This window comes from Homo sapiens, chromosome 16 (genome assembly GCF_000001405.40).
Source record: "Homo sapiens chromosome 16, GRCh38.p14 Primary Assembly".
NCBI classification, from domain to species: Eukaryota; Metazoa; Chordata; class Mammalia; order Primates; family Hominidae; genus Homo; species Homo sapiens.
The window spans coordinates 89,029,541-89,044,703 of record NC_000016.10 but is presented as its reverse complement, the minus strand read 5'-3'; the positions used below and the strand labels follow the sequence as shown (position 1 = coordinate 89,044,703).

The window sequence follows — 15,163 nt, the reverse complement described above, 5'->3', positions numbered from 1 at the left end:
ATTCCATCTTCTCACAATCATTTTCCGCATCTTCTTAGTGCCGGGCGAACGCAGCCTGCTCGTTTGAATGCATAATTAGCCCAAGCATTCTACCTCGCTAATTTCAAGGCAGGGGAAGGGAATGGAGGGGGGCTTGGGAATTTGCATATTAATTTAGCCGAGGGAGAGAAAAATTGTTTACCACTTCCTTCACACAGTTGCTCACAGAGGACTTAACTCTTTCCTGCTCCGCGTCTGGGGCTTGGGGGAGAGGGTGTGCATGGGAGGTGCGGCCAGCCCTCCCGCTGCGTCCACTCCAGGGCGGTCCCTGCACACAATGTGCTGGGCTCAGCCACAGCCCCCTTTCTTTGCAAGGACCACATGGGGGCTGTCTGGGTGCCAAACATGTACGGACAGGGGCTGCTGGGGACGCCCTCCTCGGCTGGTCCTCACCTGCAGTTTTCAGGAGCCAGAGACACCTGGATCCACAGTGTTCATCTATTTTCTCCACAATGCTCCCCCAGCCCCAGATCGGGCATCAGTACAGTGCTGGGTAGAGGGGGGGCACACACGCTGCCCCCACACCAGGGTGACAGGGGCAGCCGGCAGAGGGTGAGGTCCTGCAGAACCTTTGAGTCAGGGAGAGTAAGCGTCCACTGGGGGAGTCAAGGCAGGCTTCCTGTAGGAGGTGGTATCTTCCCTGGGCCTTGTAGGGTAAGCATGCTTCTCCAAGCGAGGGTGCAGGTGACTGGAAGGTCCTGGGGCCTAGGGCCACACCAGAGACCCTTGGGGAGTCTGGGCCATTTATCCTGACCCGATTTGAGTGAGGGCTTGTGAGGTCTCAGAAGTCGGGAAGGCTTGTGCAGGGCTCGGATGGTGGATTGCGGCCTGTGCCAGCAAACAGCCCAACTGCTCCTCGCCCCTGTCTAGTCTGTGGAGTGGAGAATAATTCTAAGGGTTACTAAGAGGTCTGCAGCGCATCCCCTTGGAAAGGGCCTGGTGCCCCACACCAACCTGGCAATACCGGTTCTCCCAGGAGATGGTTTCCACATCTGTGTTTCTATATAGAAATGATCATCCACCTGCATTCGACACCCCCAGGCACTTGTGAGACCAAATGGGGAGAGCGCATGGTGTTTTGCACGGCCCTGCCCCAGCCCGGGAGGTGCTGGACAGGAGCCACCCGCTGTCATGTCTCCTGATGGCAGCCATGAGGCTTGCACGGGGTCCCCGTGTTCCTGTTGTGCACAGATGCCGCCTGGATGGCAGAGCTCGGCTCCGTCTTCTTCAGGACAGGGAAGGCTCTGCTGCTGGGAGGGGCTGGCATGTCAGGAAGGGCCATGTTGGGGGACGGGAGGGCAGCTGCCGGGGGCTTTAAGCACCCATGGCGGGGAGGGTGGTGGCAGACAGAGAGGGCCATGAGCGGGAATGGAAGGATGTCAGAGGCGGGGACGAGGCTGAGCGAGCAGAGCTGAGATGGTCTCTGCGGGGTGGAGGCCAGGCCGGCCCAGACCTGGCCACTCTCATGGTGACTTTAGGCTACTCCCTTCTCAGTTTCTTGATCTGTAGCTTGAGAGGCCGGTCCCATCCTGAGCCACGGCAGGCATGACGGATCAATCATAGAATCTTCTCCCGCCACCTCACGGGAATTCCAGGACGCCACTGCTCGTCAATTCTCCCTGGCAGTCGGGCGGCCCCTGTTTGCCACCTGGGTTAGATGAGTTCCAAGACGCCCTCATGCCTGGGCCCACTCAGGGCTAATCTATGCCCCCCACACAGGTCACCCAGGAGCCCACGGGCCTCAGCGTTGAAGACCCCACAACGGCTGTCTCCAGTGAATAGGAGCAACCTCAAGCTCTCTCCATGACGGCCGCAGAGCCTGGAGACCTGGTGCAGACCCCTCCTGCTCCCCCCAGCAGCTTCACAGCAACCAGATGCATGGGGTCTGCACCCTGGCAGGCCAGCCCCACACCCATCACTGCACCCTGGCAGGCCAGCCCCACGCCCATCGCTGCACCCTGGCAGGCCAGCCCCGCGCCCATCGCTGCACCCTGGCAGGCCAGCCCCGCGCCCATCGCTGCACCCTGGCAGGCCAGCCCCGCGCCCATCGCTGCACCCTGGCAGGCCAGCCCCGCGCCCATCGCTGCACCCTGGCAGGCCAGCCCCGCGCCCATCGCTGCACCCTGGCAGGCCAGCCCCGCGCCCATCCACACGCCTGGGAAACCCCAGCCACACGCCTCCACCCGCTCCCATCTCAGCAGCACACTGTGACCCAAACACGGGCTGTGGGTTCAGAGACCTGGGTTCCGGAAGTCTAAGCTCAGCTGCTGACTGCCCTGTGACCAACGGGTCAGCCCCCACCCTGCACTTCTGTCCACACATCGTGGCGACCTGCTGGTCACCGGCCACGCCTGGCACACAGGATGTGCTCAGTAAAGCCTGGGCTCGTGAGTGCCACGCACAAGTTCAACAGAGGAAGCTGCAGAGCAACGGCTACGCAGGCCAGGACGGGAGGCCCGGGGAGGCCAAGGGCATGCTGAGGCCAGGACGGGAGGCCCGGGGAGGCCAAGGGCATGCTGAGGCCAGGATGGGAGGCCCGGGGAGGCCAAGGGCATGCTGAGGCCAGGACGGGAGGTCCGGGGAGGCCAAGGGCATGCTGAGCCCAGGACGGGAGGCCCGGGGAGGCCAAGGGCATGCTGAGCCCAGGACGGGAGGCCCGGGGAGGCCAAGGGCATGCTGAGGCCAGGACGGGAGGCCCGGGGAGGCCAAGGGCGTGCTGAGGCCAGGACGGGAGGCCCGGGGAGGCCAAGGGCGTGCTGAGGCCAGGACGGGAGGCCCGAGGAGGCCAAGGGCATGCTGAGGTCTAGGTGGGAGGCCCAGGGAGGCTAGGGGTGCCCGGAGGTCTGGGCGGGAGGGTGGTGGGAATACCAATAGCTGAGCTGCTCTGCAAGTGCTCACAGGCACCCACGGGGGGCCAGCCGAGCACAGGAGTTTGCTGCTGCCAGGAAGACACCGACGTGGCCCAGAACCAGGAAAGCTGCTGCTGCCGTGAGATCAGGGCTGGTGGGGCCAGACAGCGGCAGGGGCCGAGGACACTCCTGGTCCTAGTGCTGGGAAGTCGGAGCCAGGCGCTTCCTCAGTCCCCCAACCTAGCCAGGCTCCCAGGCCAGCCCCTTGCCATGGACGCCTCTGCTAGACGTGAGGACAAGAGGCACTGCTGCCATGGGGCCCTTTCCTGGGTTCAGCCCAGCATGGTTGAGATGTGTCCCTGTGGTGTCAGAGAAAAGGAGGGACGTGCGGTTCAGTAACTGGCCCAGAGCGCCCAGAGCCGCACAGCCAGTGACAGATGCTCATGGACTACCGGCCTCCTCCCGTCCCTCAGGGGATTGCAGGTGTAGGGAAAGGGCATTCCCCGGGGCAGGGGAACTCGAGTGGAGGGCCGGCACTCTGGAGAACTTGAACCCAGGCCGACTCGGTTGCCCTCCCACCTGAGCCGGGAGTAAGGTTGCGCCAAGGAGCAGGCGTGACATCAGCTCAAACAGGAGGGGAGGGAAGGAGCCCCAGCGCCGCATCCCCCCTTGCCCAGGCCTCCCTGGGCTCCTCCTGCACAGGATGGGGTGAGGCCAGGACTGAGAGCAGCCTATGGGCACTGACCGGAGTCCAGGGAGCCCAGCACTCCCTCCATGGTCCTCGCCGTCCGACTGCTGGGATCCACTTGGGGTCAGTGCCCAGTGGGCCTGAGAGCCCCTAGGGCAGAGGACAGACCCACCCCCGCATCATGCCCACTCTGCCACACCCAGCTGGGGGAACCTGGACTCGCAGCTGCCCCTCCGAGCTGTGGGTTCCTGAGGAACAAGGGTCAGAGGTGACCTCTCCCCCTCACCTGTTCCTTTGGAGACTGTGAGATAAAACTGAATGGATTCAGAAGCTGAACCGAGGGCAGAGGCCAAGAGGCTACAGGATGAGTGGGGCCCCGGTGTGTGTACGTGGAGCTGGGCTGTATGGGATGGGTGGGGGACCTGGTGTGTGGACATGGAGCTGGGCTGTAGGGGATGGGTGGGGGCCCTGGTGTGTGGATGTGGAGCCGGGATGTGGTCAGGCTCCCCAGCTGCCCACAAGGGACAGTGCCATTAGGCGGATGCTGCCCTTGGGGAATGGCTTTGGGGTGTCAAGAGGATCTGGCTCTAGCCCTTGCTCCCCCAGGCCAGCCAGGCTGGTTCCCTCTGTGGGGCCTGGACATCATGGGCTGGCCCTGGAGTGGCTGCCGCCTTCCATCCATGAACCAGCTTCATCTCACTGTCATTAAAAACCCAGGTGTCGGCTGGGTGCGGTGGCTCATGCCTGTGATCCCAGCACTTTGGGAGGCCGAGGTGGGTGGATCACGAGGTCACATCGAGACCATCCTGGCTAACACGGTGAAACCCCGTCTCTACTAAAAATACAAAAAAATTAGCCGGGCGTGGTGGCGGGCGCCTGCAGTCCCGGCTACTCAGGAGGCTGAGGCAGGAGAATGGCGTGAACCTGGGAGGCGGAGCTTGCGGTGAGCCGAGATGGCGCCACTGCACTCCAGCCTGGGCGACAGAGCGAGACTCTGTAACAACACCACCACCACCCAGGTCTGACAGGTGGGGGAAATCACACGAAAACCAGCACCCGGGGATGGCCACAGCTCAGCGGCAACCCCGCTTCCAGCCCAGGGCCAGGCCCCTCGGGGAGACAGGGTGGGGACTCTCTCCCCCGCCCCCACTGCTCTGGGGTGAGCTGGGCTGAGCTGGGTAAGTGTGGACCTGTCATCCAATGCGGGTGCCCGAGGAAGAAGTCAGGCGGCAGGCAGGCGAGGGTAGAGGCTACCAGCCACTTGTCAGGGGCTGCAGGCACAGCTCCCGATGCCAGAAGTGTGGCGGGGTGGCCACAGCGGCGCCACACCCGTGTCACACGGCCAGAACCTAACACCTTGGTCTGGCCAGCCCTGAGCCTCTGATCTGGCCAGGAGACCCAGGGCTTGCTGCCTTGGAGGCTTTAGGCAAATTCTTTTGGCTTCTGTGGCCACCCCTCTCTCCTGGGCTGGGAGGAAGAGCCCCTGTGGGAAGATCCACCAGGGCCTGGGAAGAACCCTGCTGTATCTCTCTTCCTTGCTGAAGGAGGCGGCCAGGTGCCCCCACCACGTCCCATGGCCCCACGGGCCCCTGAACACCCAAGGAGGCCACGGGGCAGGGCCTGGCATCAGGAGCCAGCCAGACGCCAGCTCTGATTCTCGAAATTTCTCCATGACTTTGTCCAGCCACTTACCCCTCTGAACCTCCGAGGAGACACCTGTCCATGGTAGTACGTGGGTGGCAGGTGACAGCACAGGGAGGGCACAGGATGCTGGCCTCATGGAGGGGCCTGGCCTGCAGGAGACACTGTCACCCTGGGGCTCTGCCCTCACTGCAGAAGCAGGCCCTTGAGCTGCAGTGAAGTGCCGCTCTCAGGGAGCGGCGGGTGCCACCGTCTCATCCTGCAGCAGGTGGTCACTGTACATGAGCCACAGCGTATGTGGATGGCAGCCCCAGACAGAGACCTGCGCCCCGCAGACCTCCACCTTGGGAAGGAGGCAGGGCGAGCACCACCCTTCCCGGGAAGGGGTGTTGATATGGCCGGCGCGGCGGGGGCAGCATTGACCGCAAGGGGTTCGTCCTCACCACCCACCACCTCGAAGCCTCCCTCTGTGGTGAGCACGGCATGTTAGGCCTTGGGGATTCTCTGCTGTGGCCTCAGGCCAGTTGGGAGTCTTGAGGAGGCTGCCCCATAGAGAGCCCAGGGCCTGGCCAAAGCGTCACCACCCATGGCCTCGGACTGGAGCTGAGAGGGTTTCAGACCCTGTGCCTCTCCCCAGGGTGCCGTGCACATGCCGGATGGACATCTGCAGAGAGCTCAGAGAGGGCTCCAGACATAGCTCGTCCCCTCCGCCTGAGAACAGGGAGGCCTCTCCAAGGCCTGGACCCTGTGCAGAAGGGGAGCCGGTGTGCAGAGGGTTAAGTGCTGATGAGGGGCTGGCGTGCAGAGGGTTAAGTGCTGATGAGGGGCCGGCGTGCAGAGGGTTAAGTGCTGATGAGGGCTCCGTCTCTGCATCAGTGAGCTTAATACGCTCCTCATTTGCATACTGCAGTGTGCGCGATTAACATGAACTTTTAATTTCTTCTAAGTAAATTACTTCTTGCCGGTACGTGAGGCGCACAAATGTCAGAAAAATGGGAGCGCCTTACTGAGTCGGGGAGGGGATGGGAGCTGTTGGGAGTCACCCCAGGAACATGCACGCGCACGCACACACACACACACACACACACACATGCACACACGCATGGATTCATGTGGGCCAGCAGCGCACACACTGGCCGCCTCTGGCCAGCCGTGCACAGACCCAGGACTGGCCGGCTGCCTCCACCCGGCAAACTCGCCCTGCACACCCAGGCTGGCTGCGAGCTGCCCATTCCCGTGCCCAGCCTCACCCCCTGCATGCCTGACACTGGCACACACACACGTATGGGATCCCACCCCAGAGAGCCGACAGACTCACCCAGCCTCAACTTCCCTTTCTGCTTCTACTTTTTAGGGTTAAATAAGGATGTAAATTTACAGGGATTAAAACAAAGAATCCAGAGCAAGGAAGTCACAGAGGCTGTTCCCCTGCCCCTGCCCCCAGGACTGGAGGGAAGCCCGCTGGGGCTGCTTTGGGGAAAGCCAGATGGAAGAGCCCCTTCCTGGAAATTCCCCAGCTGCGAGCCCAAGTGAGACACCGACCCTCCACCCAGGCCCCACCAGGAGCCTGGCCTCTGCCATTTCTCCTTCTCACAGTGCCTAGGTGCTCGCTCCTCCCCGCACGCTCCTCTCCTCACCCTTTAGAAAGCAAACATCGGAAAACGTGGAGGCTCCCAGACCTCAGCGGCCTCCACTGCATCTGAGGCAGACGCCGGACGCCATTTCAGCACCTCGGAGAGGGCCAGCAGCCAGCACTGTGGGATCCAGGGCAGAGCTTAGGGGGTGGTGGCCACCTGAGCCCGGATATCATGGGCACACGGGACCAGGAGCGTCTCAGGAGGGGTGTGGTCAAGGAGCCTCCAGCTGGACCCTCACAAAGGCCTGTGCCCGTCCACAGTAGGCAGCACAGACGCTGTGCCCACACAGACCTGGTGTCCAGCCTCGGCGCCACAGCCCACGGGCCCAGGTCCTGGACAGATCACTGAGACCCTCTGGGGCCCTGTCTTCTCTGTGCGCCTGTGTCCACCTAGGGCCGGGGCCTCCTTAAAGCACATTCACCCCCCTACCCTGCGTCATGTCGAAGCCACAGCCGGGTGACTGGGACCATGGGGCACCACCCAAAACGCAAAACTGACCCGACCAGGACTGGAGCCGCTGTCCGGCACCCTGCAGAAGGGCTCCTCAGCCACCCCAGGACAGTGGAGATCAGGCTCAGGACACTACAGGGGACAGGCAGGACCCCTCCCTGCCCAGCACTCACTGCAGGGCTGTGGTTTCTCAGCGCCCGTCTCCTGGGGTGTCTCAACCTCTAACACTTGGTTCTTGGGGTCCATCTCCTAGCCTCCCTGGGTCCAGAAGGGTCAGCGGAGAACCTGCCACGTTGATGACTTTCAGGCGGCCAAGAGAATGGAGCAAACCCCTAGCCTGCCCGCACCTCTCCGCCTGCACCTCACACCCCGGTGCACCTTGCTAGAGGCCAGCAGCCCCGCGCAGACGAGCTCAGGACTGCGCAGGGCACAGGCCCCATTGATAATGCAGCCGGCCGTGACTGATCCAGACTGTGGGCACCCTGCCCTCAGAGGGTGGTCAGGGAAGTCTTCCTGGAGGAGAAGGCCTAGCATCGCACTATGAATGCATCAGGATGAGGAAGGAAGAGACCTGGCAGGTGGGGATGGAGCCTACGGAGTCTGAGGCTCTGGCTGGGGACCCCGAAGGGGACAGTGGGGTGATTTGTCAGCTGGGGTGGGTGTCCTGACGCCAGCAGGGAGATAGTGAGGTGATTCCTCAGCCGGGGTGGGTGTCCTGAGGTTGGCAGGGGGACAGTGGGGTGATTTGTCAGCCGGGGTGGGTGTCCTGACGCTGGCAGGGGGACAGTGGGGTGATTCCTCAGCCGGGGTGGGTGTCCTGAGGCCGGCAGGGGGACAGTGGGGTGATTCCTCAGCCGGGGTAGCTGTCCTGAGGCCGGCAGGGGGACAGTGGGGTGATTCCTCAGCCGGGGTGGCTGTCCTGAGGCCGGCAGGGGGACAGTGGGGTGATTCCTCAGCCAGGGTGGGTGTCCTGACACTGGCAGAGCAGGGCTGCATTCACAGACCTCTCCTCCTGTCCTTGGCACAGCACCCCGGGCAGCAGGTGGGAAGCCCCCATCTGGCCTCCACCTGGCCCTCATGGAGCAGATAGGGAAAGAGGTGTGGAGGGTCCCTCAGTCAGCTGAATGGTGGAGGGCAGGATGAGGGGGATGGGGAGAGCCAGGGTTTCCTGGTGGGGCTGCCTGTGTGTGGCCTCAGCGAAGCTGGGGGCCTGGGGGTGGGGGCGGGAGCAACAGTAAGGACCTCGGAGCCACAGAGGGAGGACAGCTGGAAGAAGGTGACCTCTGAGCAAGGGGCTCGAGAGTCCCAGGCAGCGCCGTTCCCACCGCCCCCGTTCCAGAATTTTCCATGACTCTCCATTGCCACCTCCTTTCGTCTCCCGGCCTGACATCCCCCAGAACAGCCAACGTCACTGTCTCCTCCAAATCCCGCACTGCCTTCACCTCCCAGCTCCTCTCCTCTCATTGGTGTGGTGGCGTCCACCCCTCTACCTGTCCTCACCTGCTGGAAGTGGGAGAAGGGCCCTGCACACTGGAAGCGTGGGGAACACTCAGGGAGCCCTGTGGCTTAGTCCTAAGCCAGGGGCCACCCTCCCTGTACCTGAGGATGTGAGCCTGGGACCCTGGGGAGGGGCGCTGTCCCCTGCCTTTGAGCTTTTAAGAGGCAGAATCCCACCCTCTACTCCCGGCACCCTGCTGCTCATGCCAGATCCTCTCTCCTTGCACGAGACTGACAATTACCCCTTCCCTGGCGGCTGGGGTGTCCGTGTATGTGTGTGTGCGTGTGTGCACGTGTGCAAGTTCATGTGTGTGCGTGTGTGCGTGTGTGTGTGTTCGTGTGTCCATGTGTGTGTGCGTGTGCGTGCGTGTGTGCATATGTGCATGTCTATCTGTGCTCATGAGGTGACTGGAGCCCAGCTTTCCCCCATCACTGAAATTTACATTGAACCGCAAATTAATTTCATAATTTTTTCCTCTCTAATTATGCCAACATCTGCTGCAAAGCCAAGCTGTGCACATGCATTTTAATATCCCCCTCCCCCTGCAGCATCGCTGTCTGCTTCTGTGCTGAACTTTTCAATAATTATCACCAGGAGAAGATCTTGACTTCCATTTCTCTTGCTTTTCAAGAGGGAGAGAGAGAGAGAATGAAGAGGAGGGAGGGGGAGGGGGACGAGGAAGGAGAGAGAAAAAGATAAAGAACAAGGCGGGGAGAGAGACGGCGAGGAGAGAGAGTGGCAAATTGATAAACAGGTCTCGCATTGTGTCTTGGGGAGAGCGGTGGGGGCGGGGGTGGCAGTGGTTTCTTTGTTGCTGCAGGAGGAGAGGATGAATCTGAAGGGAGAGAGAGGAACGGACGGCAGGGGCAGGAGCAGAGGAGGGAGAGAAGGAGCTCCGGGTGAAGCAGAGGGGGCCGGGGAGGGGCAAGCAGGTGGGGGCTGTGCTCCCAGGCACACCCGGCCCCCCGGCCTCAACACAGGCCCTGCCCCTCTCCACCTGCCTCTACAAGCCCTGTGGCCACTTTCTCCAGGACAGAGGAGGCCGCAGCCAAAAACAAAGTTTCTTCCCACCTCCTGCCAGCATGCTGGTTCCTGGCTGGTGGCCCTGCTCTCACCACGAGGCCGTGGGCACGGCCAGTTTGGGATGTGCTGGTGCCTCTGCTACGTGGCATCCTGCTGGGTCCCTGACAGGAGGCCTAGCCTGGCCTGTCTGCCTGACCTTGCCAGGGAAGGTGCCCCAAGTGTGCTAGGAAAGAATGCCAGGCACCAACTCCATAGCCAGCCTCTCCTCCCACTGGTACCGCGGCCTGCCCGGCCTCCACCACCACTGAAGAGGGCAGGCGCGGGACACCCAGGGGTCAGGGAAGCTCCCAGAACGATGCCCTCCATCGGACCTCAGAGAGCACGGGCCTGACTGTGTCCATGCATGCGCCAGAGTGTGCTCTGTGTGTGTGCGCGTGTGGGTGAACCCACGTGTGAGTGTGCATGTGAGTGTGTGCAGGTGAACCCACACGTGAGTGTGCGTGTGAATACATACGAGTGAACCCACGTGTGGGAGTGTGTGAGTGCGGGTGAACCCACGCGTGTGTGTGTGAGTGCGTGTGGGTGAACCCAAGCATGAGTGTGAGTGTAGGTGAACCCACACATGTGTGTGTGAATGCGTGCGGGTGAACCCACGCATGTGAGTGCAGGTGAATCCACACGTGAGTGTGTGTGTGAACTTGTGGGGGGGAACCCATGCTTGAGTGTGTGTGTGCACGTGCAGCTCTGGCCACCCACTAACATTTGCTCAGCTCAGCCCTGCAGTGCGGGTGGACGCCCAGGGAGGCCATGCACTTGCCTGCAGTCCGAGTGCTGGGCTCTGGCCCCAGCCCTGCCCGTGTGCTGTGTGAGCCAGGGCATGGCACCTTCTGCCCCTCCATGAACCCAAGTCTCTTCCCTCACCAGTGAGAGCAAATCCCGGCACCACGACCGGAGCACCAGCACAGATGCAGGGTGAATGGCAGCACACACGCTCCCTGGGTGCCCTCGGGCCTTGGTCTCAGCTTTGGAACAGCAAATTGGCTGTGGGGAGGGGGTCTGCTTCCCCTTCTACCTCCTGAGTCCCCCTAGAGCCCACCTCCTCTGCTTCATCCCATGACCCCCTCTCTGGAAGAGCTCCCAGCTGCCCACTGCCTCCCACACCCCCTCTCCTCTGGCCTGTCCAGCCACGGTGGCTGGACAGAAACAACACACTGGATCACCCTGCCCTGGCCTGGAACCTCCTGCTGCTCCTCACTGCCATCCCATCGAGTTCACCCTCCCATGCCAGCCCTTGCCCCAAATCCTCAGGGCACCACGTGCACCCTCAAAACTGTCCTCGCAGGGCCCCTGGGGCCCTTCCACATGCTCTCCCGGTGGCATGGACGTGCCCCTTCCTGGCCCTCTCCCGATGACCTCACAGCTCAGCCTCCCTGCCTTCCTCCAGGTCTTCCCTGCCTGTACCAGGCTTTCCCCGGCAAGCTCACACCACGCAGGGTCCTGAGTGGATGCCACTCGTTTATTCCTCTATTTCCCCCACTCTACCATCTCAGAGCTTTTTGAGGGCAAAGCAATTTCTCTGTATCCCCAGAGCCTAACTCATGGCTGCTGTTTGATACTTTAAATAAATAAATAAATAAATAGGCCGGGCGCAGTGACTCACGCTTGTACTCCCAACACTTTGGGAGGCCGAGGTGGGTGGATCACCTGAGGTTGGGAGTTCGAGACCAGTCTGACCAACATGGAGAAACCCCATCTCTACTAAAAATACAAAATTAGCCCGGTATGGTGGCACATGCCTGCAATCCCAGCTACTCAGGAGGCTGAGGCAGGAGAATCGCTTGAACCTGGGATGTGCAGGTTGCGGTAAGCTGAGATCACACGACTGCACTCCAGGCTGGGCAAAAAGAGTGAAACTCCCTCTCAAAATTTTAAAAAATCATAAATAAATAAATGACATAATTGAAATACATTATGAAACTTTTCTGGATCCATTTCCTCATCTAGAAAATAAAGAGGTTGAATTTCTGACAGTCCAGACTCCCCTCCACGCCTTTAAATGCCGGCTCTGGCCCAACTGAAAGACCAGGAGTGGTTCGTGAGAGCAGTTCCCACTGCTTCAGCCCCAATTCAGATAAATCCACCTTTGTTGAAGCCACGTTGTGCCAGATGCCACAGAGAATTTTCAGAGGGCACACAAGCAGTGAAGACGCCTGTGAGGACGGGTGAGGCTCAGAGCGGAGATCAGGTGAGGACGGGTGAGGCTCAGAGCGGAGATCAGGTGAGGACGGGTGAGGCTCAGAGTGGAGATCAGGGGAGGACGGGTGAGGCTCAGAGTGCAGATCAGGGGAGGACGGGTGAGGCTCAGAGTGCAGATCAGGGACGCATTACTGAGATGTAGCGTGTGGATGGGGCCAGGAGGAACGAGGGGCTCTGATGGGACTGAGGGTGTGGTGGGAACGGCACTACAAGTGGGAAGGCAGGATGCTGCCAAGGCAGGGCATGGCGTCCACTCCCAGCCATGATAAAAATCACGGGTGTCCGTCAGGCTCATCCTCCTTCTATAAACAATTGTTTAACTGGATGAAATGTAAATGAACTGTTTTCAGGCACTGCACAACAGATATTTCCACGTGCACCCAAGCTTTCTGCTGGGAGGTACTTTCCAAACCACAGGACAAGGAAGTGGGGACTCAACCCAGCACAGATGTCTCAACAGGCAGAGAAGCAGAGCGGGGAGTATGGGGCTGCCGAGGTGTCCGCAACTTGCGGCGAACAGAAAGGAGGAAGCTGTGCAAAGAAAAGGAGCCCAGGAATCTGTACAGGAGTTCCCTTGAGCCGTATAGGAAGGACTTCACAAGGCCTGGCCAAGACAAAGCGTTTTGCATGGAGGAAAGAGTTTGGAGGTAAAACAGTGCTGGAAGACACTGTGTGACCCAAACAGCTTGAGTGGAAAGACCTCGCTGACAACCCCAGTAAGGCAGGTCTCAGGAGGACTATCCTAGCCACAGGCTAAGGATTGCTTGAGAACCTGCCCTCGCAAAGTCTAAACTCAAGCTGACAGCCATCTCCTAGAACAAAACTTCCCATCTTTAAAGATGACAACATCATCCAAACTCTCAATATAGCCTCCATGATGTTCAGCATACAATAAAAATTATTATATATGCAAAGAAGCAGGCAAATTTAACCAGAAGAGAAGTTGATAGAACAGAGCCAGAGATGACACAGATGTTGGAATTCAAAGAGAAAGATTTAAAAGAAGAGAAAGACATGAGTGAGGAGATAGAGATTCTCAAAAGAATGGAAACTATGGAAGGGGAAATGATATTAAAAAATCTAGAACTAAATATTATAATATCTAAAATTTAAAATTCACTAGATGAGTCCAACAGAGGATTGGACTACAGAAGAAATGGTTAGCAAACTTGAAGATGGATACATAAAAACAATCCAAAGAGCCTAGGCATGGCAGGTCATGCCTATAATCCCGGCCCTGTGGGAGGCTAACACGGGTGATCACCTGAGGTCAGGAGTTCGAGACCAACCTGGCCAATAGGCTGAAACCCCATCTCTACTAAAAATACAAAAATTAGCCAGGCATCGTGGCACATACCTGTAATCCCAGCTTCCCAGGAGGCTCAGGCACGAGAATCGCCTCAACCAGGGAGGCAGAGGTTGCAATGAACTGAAATCGTGCCACTGCACTCCAGCCTGGGTGACAGAGTGAGACTCCCTCTCAAAACAAACAAAATCTTTGACTTCTAATCAGAAACAATGCAAGCCAGAGGACAATGGAACAGTATCTTTAGAGTGTTAGAACTGTGAGCTCAAAATCCTACACTCTGCAGGAAAAAAAAGTCCTTCAAAAATTAAGGTGAGATAAAGCATTCAGATAAACAAAATCTGAGAAAATGAATCACTAGAAGAACTGTACATAAATAAATGTGAAGGAAGCCCTTCAGGCTGAAGGGAAATGATGCCACATGGAATTTCAGATCCACACAAAGACGTGAAGAGCCCTGGAGGTGGCAAACATGAAGTAAATAGAAAGTCCCCTTTACCCACGTATTAATATAAAGTCTGCTTTACTCATATATTAATATAAAGTCTGCTTTACTCATGTATTAATATAAAGTCTGCTTTACTCATGAATTAATATAAAGTCCCCTTTACTCCTGTATTGATAAAGTCCCCTTTACTCATATATTAATATAAAGTCCCCTTTACTCCTGTATTAAGATAAAGTCCCCTTTACTCATATATTAATATAAAGTCTGTTTTACTCATATATTAATATAAAGTCTGCTTTACTCATGTATTAATATAAAGTCTGCTTTACTCATGAATTAATATAAAGTCCCCTTTACTCCTGTATTAAGTCCCCTTTACTCATATATTAATATAAAGTCCCCTTTACTCATATATTAATATAAAGTCCCCTTTACTCATATATTAATATAAAGTCTGCTTTACTCCTGTATTAATATAAAGTCCCCTTTACTCATATATTAATATAAAGTCCCCTTTACTCATGTATTAATATAAAGTCTGCTTTACTCCTGTATTAATATAAAGTCCCCTTTACTCATATATTAATATAAAGTCCCCTTTACTCATATATTAATATAAAGTCTGCTTTACTCCTGTATTAATATAAAGTCCCCTTTACTCATATATTAATATAAAGTCCCCTTTACTCATATATTAATATAAAGTCTGCTTTACTCCTGTATTAATATAAAGTCCCCTTTACTCATATATTAATATAAAGTCTGCTTTACTCATATATTAATATAAAGTCTGCTTTACTCATGTATTAATATAAAGTCCGCTTTACTCATGAATTAATATAAAGTCCCCTTTACTCCTGTATTAAGATAAAGTCCCCTTTACTCATATATTAATATAAAGTCCCCTTTACTCATATATTAATATAAAGTCCCCTTTACTCATATATTAATATAAAGTCCCCTTTACTCATATATTAATATAAAGTTCCCTTTACTCATATATTAATATAAAGTCTGCTTTACTCATGTATTAATATAAAGTCCCCTTTACTCATATATTAATATAAAGTCCCCTTTACTCATATATTAATATAAAGTCTGCTTTACTCCTGTATTAATATAAAGTCCCCTTTACTCATATATTAATATAAAGTCCCCTTTACTCATGTATTAATATAAAGTCTGCTTTACTCCTGTATTAAGTCCCCTTTACTCATATATTAATATAAAGTCCCCTTTACTCATATATTAATATAAAGTCTGCTTTACTCCTGTATTAATATAAAGTCCCCTTTACTCATATATTAATATAAAGTCCCCTTTACTCA

General features: G+C 56.8%; 5 annotated features.

Moving 5' to 3' along the window:
- Window positions 4,479-4,538: an enhancer, noted in NCBI's record as "active region_11391". NCBI's record gives its function as "activates an Ori minimal core promoter by ATAC-STARR-seq in GM12878 lymphoblastoid cells {active_cell/tissue: GM12878}" and the evidence as "EXISTENCE:reporter gene assay evidence [ECO:0000049][PMID:35858748]".
- Window positions 6,749-7,256: an enhancer, noted in NCBI's record as "H3K4me1 hESC enhancer chr16:89103856-89104363 (GRCh37/hg19 assembly coordinates)". NCBI's record gives its function as "activates a minimal SCP1, AML or CMV promoter by ChIP-STARR-seq in primed H9 embryonic stem cells {active_cell/tissue: H9 hESC(primed)}" and the evidence as "EXISTENCE:reporter gene assay evidence [ECO:0000049][PMID:30033119]".
- Window positions 9,379-10,265: an enhancer, noted in NCBI's record as "H3K27ac-H3K4me1 hESC enhancer chr16:89100847-89101733 (GRCh37/hg19 assembly coordinates)". NCBI's record gives its function as "activates a minimal SCP1, AML or CMV promoter by ChIP-STARR-seq in primed H9 embryonic stem cells {active_cell/tissue: H9 hESC(primed)}" and the evidence as "EXISTENCE:reporter gene assay evidence [ECO:0000049][PMID:30033119]".
- Window positions 12,475-12,534: an enhancer, noted in NCBI's record as "active region_11390". NCBI's record gives its function as "activates an Ori minimal core promoter by ATAC-STARR-seq in GM12878 lymphoblastoid cells {active_cell/tissue: GM12878}" and the evidence as "EXISTENCE:reporter gene assay evidence [ECO:0000049][PMID:35858748]".
- Window positions 12,545-12,604: an enhancer, noted in NCBI's record as "active region_11389". NCBI's record gives its function as "activates an Ori minimal core promoter by ATAC-STARR-seq in GM12878 lymphoblastoid cells {active_cell/tissue: GM12878}" and the evidence as "EXISTENCE:reporter gene assay evidence [ECO:0000049][PMID:35858748]".